This window comes from Homo sapiens, chromosome 5 (genome assembly GCF_000001405.40).
Source record: "Homo sapiens chromosome 5, GRCh38.p14 Primary Assembly".
Classification (NCBI taxonomy): Eukaryota; Metazoa; Chordata; class Mammalia; order Primates; family Hominidae; genus Homo; species Homo sapiens.
This window is the reverse complement of record NC_000005.10, coordinates 41,256,256-41,267,637: the sequence shown is the minus strand read 5'-3', so window position 1 is coordinate 41,267,637 and position 11,382 is coordinate 41,256,256. Positions and strand designations below refer to the sequence as shown.

General features: G+C 35.7%; 1 protein-coding gene across 5 annotated transcripts in view; it reads left to right on the top strand.

Annotated features, from left to right (window-relative positions):
* C6 (complement C6) overlaps positions 6,169-11,382 on the top strand; it is a 119,354-nt gene continuing 114,140 nt past the window's right edge. For all 5 annotated transcript variants that reach the window (XM_047417689.1, NM_001115131.4, XM_011514119.4 and 2 more), the window contains exon 1: positions 6,169-6,444. In XM_047417689.1, the coding sequence (XP_047273645.1) occupies positions 6,438-6,444 (7 nt within the window). In that variant the 5' untranslated portion in view covers positions 6,169-6,437. The remainder of the gene's footprint in view (positions 6,445-11,382) is intronic.

Below are 11,382 nucleotides of genomic sequence, written 5' to 3'. Positions count from 1 at the left end.
CTCTCTCTCTCCATGTAGTCTAAGTACCTCTTCAGCACTGAAGGTGAACTTTATGTATGGTGGCTCTGGCCTCCAAGAGACCAAGGTGAAAGCTGTTATACTCCCAAAGGTCAGGACCAGACCTGATATAGTGTCAGTACTCTAATGGTTAAATCAGTGGCAGGGTGGGATTCAAGGATGTGGCGGAATAAGCTTCATCTCTTGGTAAGGGAATAGCACATAATACAGGCACAGGAGAAAGAAAGGCAGCCATCTTGGGATGGCTACCACAGAGATATAACTTTATTACTTTTAAGAAGATAAGAGTAATTTGATTCATGTTTCAATCAATCAATCAATAGTTACTAAATGTTTTTTGTGCGCTTTACTCTCTGCTCAGTTCTATTGGTCCTGCCTTGAAGTCCTCAGAAGACCTGTTTTTATAAGTAAATGTTATTACCGATGATACATTTTAGAAAACATCACAATTTAGCCTTAAGAAGAAATCAGCTGTCTCTGCATTGGGTATCAGAAGAGGGAGACGTTTTATTCTAGCTATGTGTGAAACTTTGAGTAGTTTAGCAGATATTTTCAAGTTTCTGTTTATCTGCAAAATTTACTCAACTAATTTTTATTTAGTAAACACTCTATATCTTTACTGGTATAAGCACTGATGATACAAAGAAACATAGACTATTTATGTCCTCAAAAGCTTTCAAGGAAGGGACACATTCACAAATAATCATGATATACAGTGATGTGTGGAACACTGAAGGTTTCTTTCATATCTAAAGTGATGTGACTCTATGAGTTTTAATTAGCTCATAAATAATTCGTATTTAAATGAGTGTCTTTGAAGAACTTATTAATATTTTCTTAAGAATTTAAAATATGCATCTGTACAATTTGTTTATATATTACTTTGACCACGTTTTAATCTGTTCTTAAAGAGTCATAAAACTCTGGAACTGAAAGTGACTAGGAAGATAAGATATTCAACCCTTTTTTTTATGGACAAGGAATCTGGGACAAAAAGAGGCTAAGGGACTTGTTTACTTCACAGGGCAGGCCAGGCCAGCATGTTCTGCATCTCACAGATCTGCCTGCCTATGAAGACATTTTGGTACAGCATCTCTTTGCCCGCTGAGGTGCTAAAACCCAGAGCCTTGTAAGTATTATTGTACTTGGTTTATCTTCTCCAAAATTCCTGTGCTATTTTAATGAAGAGAACATCTTAATCTCTCTCCTTCACAAATTTTGAAAATTAGGCTGTGACATGTTGACATATACTTCTTTGGCCATGGAGAAAAGTCCCTAACTATATACACGGTAAGCATACCACCACAAATTCTAATTCTATTTGTTCTGTAATTCCTAACTGGAGATTCGCATAGAAAACACAATTGTTCACAAACATAAAAATGTCTTCATTACTCAAACCACAGTATTATCTTTATTTTTTAATGCCCATGACCAACAGGACATGTACTAGAGACATGGTTTCTATGAACCTCTCTTTTCTTTCTCTGAATTTTCAGGGAGAAATACAGATTTCCAAAATATTGGTACTGGGAGGAATCCTTAAATGCCTCTAAATTAATCTCCATGTTTTGCAGATATGGAAGCTGAAGCCAGATGATAGTTTTTTTTTTTTTTTTCTAAGGCTCCATAGATAATGACCAGAGCTTAAATCAGAGTTCAGCTTTTTGGTTCCCAGGTAGTGCCCATGTCTGAATGAAAGAGCTTTGCTAGAGCATCCTAAGAAAACTGCATTCTCATTTTGGATGTATGCAAAAATGAGATTAAAGTCATTCTCTTCCAAAGGGAAGGAATGCTAGTGTTTGCCATATATCAGGGAACAGCTTCCAATCCCTCTGTGCCTCTTATTTATAAGGACGTTTTATTCTCGAGTGATTCCTTGGTTTACAAAGGTATGCTCTGGATAATAGGTAAACATTCCACTTGTCTTAAAAAAGTAAGACAAAGGGAGTGAGATTTCCATTTTTGCTTCAATAATTTGTTGCTGATATCAAAATTGTTTGCTCTAAAAATTCCTTGAGCCATTGTTTTCTGCCCACAGATGATTTCCTCATATTTTTCCAAATTAAGGAATTGTTGATATTACATTTTAATAATAAATATTTGTGCAAACCAGATCTTCCTTTAACTTCAGTCAAGACTAGTGTGGACATGCTGTAAACCAAAGCAAAAACTAGTGGGAGACAGCCACTCATTGCAGCAGTTGTGACTACATTTGCACTCAGTGGTTGCATGTGTGGTCTTTTTGTTATTTCTCTTTATTTAGGTATAAGAGACCATTACATCTTCCTAAGTCTCCTTCTCTTGTTCATTCTTCTTCCTAAACATTTAACTCTTATCTTACCGTGATCTTTCTGACATTTTCTTTCTTGCAAGTATCAGTACAAATCTATTAAAAGACAGAACAACATTTAGGCACCATAAATGTTTACAGGATAAAAACAAATCATCTAAGAGAAGAAGTAAATATTTCACTTTTATTCTCTATGTATTGATTGATATAGACATAGCTTGACTCTGTGTATTTTGAGTTAGATAGAAAACATTTTGTTATTTAAAACATAGGATCCCAGTGAGTAGAGCTGATCTTTTGACCTAATCATGAAGAAAACATCTACACGTTTTAAAAAATATCCTGATTCTGACACTTAGACACAAATGCTCTTGGATGAAACCTGGCCATTGGGGCACAAACCCCTGAAGCTCTCACTCACTCTTGTCGGTGAGATTTGCCAAGATTTCCCTCTGTTACTAATGTAGCCTAAAGTCATATCTTTAAGTCAGCTTTTAAAAAATTAAGCAAAAGGCTAGCCTAAAGAACATAGGCAAACAGAGGTCAGACTTATCCTTTCGGCAGGCTGAGAAATCTCCATTTGGTTGTGGAAGCAGGCTTAATGGAAAGATAGCCATTAATAAATAAACCCGACATTGCAGTTTGGCCAGAGGAAGCAATATAGGCACCAGCACACTAGCCAACTTTTAGACCTTACTAGGACAGAATTACACATGTTCTAATGACTTGTTTTGGTTGAACCTATGATAGGCACTTCCTGAGAAAGAATTTCAGAGTCTGTGCCCCTGAACCATCAATTTCATCCTGCTTTTTGGCTTTATCTAGGAGCCTGAAGTTTACTGTAACATCTTGGTTGCATCCTACTCTTCCACAGTAACATGAGGAAAGAAAGAACTATCCCAATCTCTAGGTTTTAGGAGATAAATAACATAGAACAGTCTCTTGGCTCTTTCTTTAAATAACTTTTCTTCCTGGCTCCAACTCCAATCCCATCCCCTCAATGCCTGCCCAGGGAAGTCAGGACCACGTCACTCTGGGTCCTGTCTTCTGTCCACTACCCTCTTCAAGGTATACATGGATACTATGAAAAGCTTTGAATGCTGTTCTTTTTCTATTATCTCATCCGTAGCACAGCTGTGATATCTCATTGGACTCTGGCCTAATGGTTTTTATGGAGTCAGATAACTATTCACGGGACTTATCTTCATTGAACACATGCTGGGGAGAAAAATAATAGCAGGATACAGGAAACATTATCTGCTTCAGATTCAAAAATTGGCTTCCAACTATTTGATTCTGGTTCATGTTATGAAAGAGGAATAAATAGTTTGCTTTCTGTTGCTATTAATGCTTTTGCTGAACCCTATCCCATAACTTAACAATCATACATCAGAAAAAGCAGGTATTTCATGCTACTTATGGGTGATGGGAACCATCTATTAATATACTGCATCCGTTGGTCCTTATTGAGACCAATGGCACCTATTTCTGCCATAATATTGAGGGAAGAGAGTACAGTCTATATTTGAGTTAAGTGTTCTGGTTCCAGTGACCTCTATGAAAACATAAGGATGTTACCCAGACGGAGAGACACACACACCAACCTATTGATGCTCCCAAAGAGTACTTTAACAGGTTTTGTTAATATTGGGTAGCCTGAATCTAAAGCCATAAAGAGAAGCAAGATTGTCTGACAGAGGAGGAAACCAGGAAAGATTTCTAAGCAGGTCAGATCTTGTATGTTGTAAAAATAAGGACACTATACACTCAGCAGCTGTCATACATACTCTGAGTACTAAGGCGATGTTTACAGAGAAACAACTGAGAGGTCTAGGAGGAGGGGAACTCTAGGCAAAGTTGAGAGTGATGGTGGTGAGGAGAGATAAGGTAAGACGGGACCAAAAGCAAATCTTGGCTGAAGCATAACCTTGTCTGACCTTGAATTTTGAGGAAATCAAATGACCTTAGGAAGGAGTAGACATTGTTCAAATAAATTACGTGAAATTTGTATTTACAGTTTTTTAAAAAGTCAAATAATCTTAAAAACAGCAAATATCTTTCACCCAATCTACCTTAAGTTTTGATTCATCCTTCTCACATGGAACAGTGAACTATCTATCAGCCTATAAACTACCTGCACGTGGTCACTTGTTCTATTGGTCACTGCAAAAACTGTAAATGTTGGGGAACAAATTCCATGAGATGGCCATGGCTTATTTCCAAGTTTGGTCACTTTACACCCTTGTAAATGACATCATGTTTCAATTCAATCCCAAAAACAAAGACAAAAAATTACCCAGTCATATACTTATGTTATAATAGCTTTCTTCCTTAGGTCGTAGTGAAGAAAAGATGAAAACACTTCAGCCAAAATAAAAAAATAAAACTAGTTATTTTACCACCTGATCTATGAGTAAAGAATCAAGTACGTTGAAAATCCCTCCGTTTGAAGGAATGCTTTTCAGATAGTGGGTAAAACTAATTTGTTTTGCAGCCTTCACCTTGTACTGGATATTCAAACATATTACCTAGTTAATTAAATCTCTTCATAATATGATAATGCTTGTTTGCACACTGACTCCAAACAGCAGTCACGTATGAAGTTTGTCATAACCAAATGGATTACAGAACACAGAAAAGCAAAATTTCTAATAATCTCAATTTTTCTAAATCAAAGAATGCCTCTCCATGTTTTCTAAGAATGGAAACAAAAGAAAAGGTTGAATTTCACCCCAAAACTGGGAAGTCAGTTACACAAGCCCTATCCATACAGATATACACAGTCTTAAAAATGAGACTTTTAAGATATCTTTTGAGTTATCCCAGAAGACACAAACTTCCTGCTCACTATGCACACCTAGAGGACCTCAAAGAGGAAGAAATAGCGAAATAAAAAGTCCTTTCTATGGAGGTAGGAAGGAGGAAGCAGCATTTACAATAAAAAGGCACAATGGTTTCAGGTGTTAAATTCCTCCTTGATCCTCATACTACAATACAAATCTGAGCTTTTGCTCCATTTTAAATTACTTCAAGCAGTGCCTACCATCCTGGAGTGTGACTGTAGCCTTTACCAATTGTTTGCTATAATTTTATCTGTCTTTATTTTATCTTTTTATTTTCCCTCTCCTCCCTGCCCACCTTAATTCTCAATTCCAGTTTTGTAGAACATACTTTAGGAAAAGTGGATTTTGAGAGTAAAGAAGAAAGGAAAGAAAGAAGGAAAGAAGGGAAAGAGACAGAAAAAGAAAGAAAAAGAAGAAAGAAGAAAAAAGAAAAAAGAGAAAGAATTTTCTTGCTCACTTATATATATACAGGATATTTTGTTTTGCCAGCAGTTTATCCTCCAAAGGAGTGTGTCTTGCTTATTATATAATTCAGTATATTTTATTCAACAGAATGTTTTTTATTCATTTTCTATGTAATCTAAAAACCTGTCAAAAACATAGAATTTGAAAGTATTTCGAATGCAGAAAAAAATCACCGCATTCTGATGTAGTGACATTGCTATTTAAAAACGAAAATCAATCTCATTAAAAATGAAGTGAAAGATAATAATTTTGGATTGATAAGTGACAATTAAATAAGTTTTAAACTACTGTTTTTATTATTTGAAAATTTTAATTGTAAGATTTGTTTTTAAATATTTGAGATGCAACTCCAATCTTTCTGAATTTGCGATTTTTAAAAATTGGAATAGTTTTTGCAATGTTTAATTTGTGTAAAAAAGCACTAAAAGATAAAAATAAGCAGGAGATGGGGGTAGGAAGATAAAACAGAACAACACAGTTGTGTCTGGATTTGCATTGAGTCTCTGTTGCAATTTCTTTTAAAAAGGAAACTAAAATGTAGAGATTCTCAATCCGGTTTAGCATACATAGGAGTTTCTCCCTAAAATATACCCGTCTCTCTTAATTTTGTATGTCTTCAACATAACATTCATTAAATTTTATTCTGAAACTGAGTCTTAAAAACTGAAATACTTTTAAAGAGAGATGTTTCTAGCTTAAATATTTCATCATATAGTAAGATTCCTGCTGAGAGCTCATAATAAGAAATATGAAACCAGTTACTCTGGACTTGGATTTTGATGTGCTGAAGTATCTGCTGGTATTTCTTCAAGTCATAGATGCATAGTAAGTTTTCTACTTTTTTCTTCTTTTTTTTTAATTGGTGGGCATGCATATGAGGTTGGTGCTTCTTGAAATGGCTGGTTAAAAGATTTCCAGATGAAAGTTTACAAAGGCAGTAGTTCAGTTTTATAGAATATGGTTTTGGGTACATTTGCGATGGTGCTTTTTATAATATGTGATTGCTGTGTGACAATGTCTTTGTGAAGTCAATGGAGATTTCACATTTGGAAAACAAACCTTTGTGTAGTATCTTGTCATTACTAATTGAAGTGTAATTTTGTCAAATCTAACTTGTTCATGTTTTCATTTTCATTCATTCTGTTTCTCCTTACCCACAGTATCCATCTATAGGACTGGTGTGTTTAAGACTAGAGAAGTTGCAGGGGTTTTTTTGGTTTGTTTTTGTTTTGTTTTTTTTTTTGAGATGGAGTTTCACTCTTGTTGCCCAGGCTGGAGTGCAATGGCGCCATCTTGGCTTACTACAACCTCCACCTCCCAGGTTCAAGTGATTCTCCTGCCTCAGCCTCCTCAGTAGCTGGAATTTACAGGCATGAGCCACCATGCCCACCTAATTTTTTTTTGTATTTTTAGTAGAGATGGGGTTTCTCCGTGTTGGTCAGGCTGGTCTCGAACTCCCAACCTCAGGTGATACGACCGCCTCGGCCTCCCAAAGTGCTGGGATTACAAGCATGAGCCACTGCGCCAGCAGTTGCAGCATTTTTATTTGTTTGTTTGTTTTGGGGGGGGGTTTATTTGTTTGTTTTTACTGAACAATTCTGGATTTACTGAAGAGAAGGGATCTGAAAGCACTAATTACAAGTTTTGATATAACGTGTTTGAAAGTCTGTGCCTCCAATATTTGTAGTATGTCCTTTTTCTGAAGAAAGTTATGTAACTAAGTCACAAAGCTGGCGTGTGTGTGTGTGTGGTGTGTTTGTGTGTGTGTTCAAGTTACCACTTCATTTGCCTAGGCAAATGAAAATTTAAAAAATAATCAACTTGTGTTTTGTACCTTATAATAAGCTTATAGTGGACGAAAAGCAAAATATTCATCTGAATTACTTTTGAGGAAAAAAATTAAACTATAGGAAGCTTTGGCTGCAACTCATGAATAACCTAGAAATCATTATCCATAACTGGATAATAAGTAGATAAATTGAATAAAACAATTCTTTCTCCTCAGAGGTGTTTAGATTTCCAGCTGAGAGTGGTTTGTTCTCTACAGGACATTTGGAAATGTGTGGGGACAGCCCAGGCTTTTAGTGGGTTCAGGCCAGACATGCCAAATAATCCTCAATTTCTGTGAGACATTCTGGTTTAAGGAAGAACTGACGCATCATAATGCCAACAGCACCCCTATTGAAAGCTGAAAGCTGACGGTGTCCCTATTCTTAATAGGTACGACATTTGGGAGATATTAGGAAAAAATAATGGATAATTTTATTCTTTTTAAGTGCAGCCTCAGGCCAATAAAATGAACTAATTAGGAAACAGAAACCTCTTCCTAAAATTAGAGTTAAGGCCCACTTATAAGCAATTGGTAATTTAAATTCTCAATATTTATGCCAAGGGGTTTATTGATTTTTTTAAGGTGGTAATGTGCTGAAAACAGTTTAAGTCTTGTTGTAGGAAAATAGTGCTATTATCTCAGAAAACAGAGATTTTTTTTTTTTTTTTTTGGTAATTTCAGGGGCTGAAAATTGGGACAACTATGCAGTTTTTAATGGCATTGGACTGACCTGAAAAATAGAATTTAAAATTGAAATTAACATTTGTCAAGAGCCTGGACATCATTGCTTATATTAACAATGGAATAAAATACAAGAGATTCTAGAAACCCATATACATTCACCAAGGAATGCAAAGTAAAATAAGCCACGTATTTAGTTCACACTTTGCCAGCTATTTTTACTCTTTGTTTCCCCATTAAGAAGAACTAAGGTTAGATTTATATCTTTTTCATAATTTCATCAAACATTTGATTTAATCATTTTGAATTTGAATAAGTAAATGTTTTCAAGTACATTAGAGCAAGATCCCCTAAAGGCAACACCAATTTATTACATTCTCTTTTTTAAAGCTTTTAAAATGAAACTTCTCATCTGTGACAGTGACCCAGACTCCAGTTCATTATTAGTGAACTTAAAACCCATAAACATGTTAGTTGATCTCACTGTATATGTGATATGGTTTGGTTCTGTGTCCCCACCCAAATCTCACCTTGAATTGTAATCCTCATAATCCCCACATGTCAAGGGTGGGACCAGATGAAGGTAATTGGATCATGGGGTGGGTCCCCAATGCTGTTCTCATGACAATAAGTGAATCTCATGAGATCTGATGCTTCTATAAGTGTCTGGCATTTCCCCTGCTTGCACTCATTCTCTCTCCTGCCACTCTGTGAAGAGTTGCTTTCCGCCATGATTGTTAATTTTCCTAAGGTCTCCCCAGCTATGTGATACTGTGATTCAATTAAACCTCTTTTCTTTATAAATTACCCAGTCTCAGGTATTTCTTCATAGCAGCATGAGAATGGGCTAATACAGTACGTATAGATGTGGTTACTTTCATTCAACAGGTCTTTCCCTCTAAGACCTGTTCAATATAAGTAAATTCTTTGAAGCTTTCAAAAATATTTTTTGGACTCAAACAGCATCAAAACACTTAAATGACTGGGTTCCAAGATCTGACATTTAGAAAAGGGCATGTCTGCCTTCCAGTTAGAAACTTTTTCTGTTAACATATAACCTTCCTATTTTCATTTAAATGTGGTTGTCTCATATTTCAGCTAATAAAATCATTAAACCAAATCATGAAATTACTACAGTGTAGATACTTCAGCCAAAAATAAAAACAAAAAACAATTGAATAAGTGTCAGAATCCTTCTTCACTTCATATAGAATAAAGAAGTTTATGAAATTTGACTTCACAAGTCACCTTTGAATTTTCAGATCTGTACAGCAATGCAATAATAATGACTTTCAAATGTGTTTTATGTTTCCTTTCCTCATAATACATTAACAAGAGCTTTAAGTCAACATTTAGATAATACCAAGACTATGTTATTATAGAATAATAAGAAAAATTAAAGCAATTTAATTTTTGCTTGTGAAGACCATGCCTGGTGGGTTTTTTCTTTGTTGTTGTTTTTAAGTCATAAAAAGTAAAGTTTTATGATTGGGTAGAAAAAAATGAGTTAATTATGTAAAAAGATTTTTTTCTATGTGAAATTTTAAATTTGATTTAAAAAATTTATGCTGATGGTTGTTAAGCTTATTTCTTTCTTTTAAGTAAATAATATCAAATACATACATGTAGGTGGGAACAATCCAGAAAAGCAAGAAAATTTGATAATTAGCCAAAAAAATAAAAAGGGAATATGTCGGTGGAATCTTCCTAATTCAGCATGAGGGGGCTGGGAGGTAGTATATATGTCAGCCTTAGATGGGAGAATAGACTGTTAACAACAGGGAGGGCAGAGTATGTGCCTACAAAAGCAGGTAGGTGAGTAGATGTGATATGGTTGTTTGTGGCTTTCTATTCCGATGGCTTCTACTTTCATAGTGGTAACCCTTCCTTAAAGCTAAAGAAGCCTGAAGCCTACTCCCAAACACTTTATTCATCAAGTGCAATAACCATTCAACCCAGCAGTCCTATTGCTGGGTATGTATCCCCAAAAAATAAGTCATTCTACCAGAAAGATACATGTATTCATATGTTCATCACAGCACTATTCACAATAGCAAGACATGGGATCTATCTAGATGCCCATTAACAGTGTACTGGATAAAGAAAATGTGGTATACATATACCACGGAAAGGTATGCAGCCATGAAAAAATGAAATAATGTCCTTGGCAGCAACATGAATGTAGCTGGAGGTCATTATCCTAAGTGAATTAATGCAGGAACAGAAAACCAAATACTACATGTTTTGATTTATAAGTGGGAGCTAAACGTTGCTTACACGTGGACACAAAGATGGGAACAATAGACACCAGGGCCTACTTGAGCAAGGAGGGTGGGAGGAGTGTAAAGGTCAAAAAACTACCTATGCTTACTACCTGGGTGACAAAATCATCTGTACACCGAACCCCCGTGAAATGCAATTTACCGTTGTAACAAACCTGAACATGTAATCACTGAACCTAAAATAAAAGTTGAAAAATAATAAATAAATAAATAAAACTTGGAAGTACTCTCTGTAGTATTTTTAGTGTAAACAAAGATGAAAGCCTCATCCAAACTGCAGAAAGCCTACCTCATTCAGAAAACAAAACACACCTCATTGGACTTGGGGATGGAAAGTGGGTATGGGAACCTCCCACTGATATTGCACCATGAGGCAATTGTTCCTTTACCCATTTGTAAAATGTGTTCCCTTTTATCAAGGAGCTGGCTGGCCTTCAATCTGTCTAATAAGAGACTCAATCTGCTCGTAAGGTACAGATATTCCAGAAAAAAAGAAGGTTGGCTTGGAATACGGTGCAGTTGGCAACATTATTGAGGTCATTAGAGGCAGGATATCGTAACATAAAACCAGGCAAGCTTTATGCCAGAGAACTTATATCCAACATTGAGAAACCCCTGTGTGATACAAAGATTAGCTGTCATCAAACCACAAAATTCTCTCAGCAGTGGGGCCCTCTGATTTCAGTAACTGAAAAGGTGACGTTAAGGGAAGCTTAGCAGTCTGGGTGGTGCAGTCCAGCCTGAGGCCTGTAGAATCTAAGACTCTTTTTTTTTTTTTTTTACTTTTTTTTTTTTAATTATACTTTAAGTTTTAGGGTATATGTGCACATTGTGCACGTTAGTTATATATGTATACATGTGCCATGCTGGTGTGCTGCACCCACTAACTCGTCATCTAGCATTAGGTATATCTCCCAATGCTATCCTATACCCAAATGACTATAAATCATGCTGCTATAAAGACACATG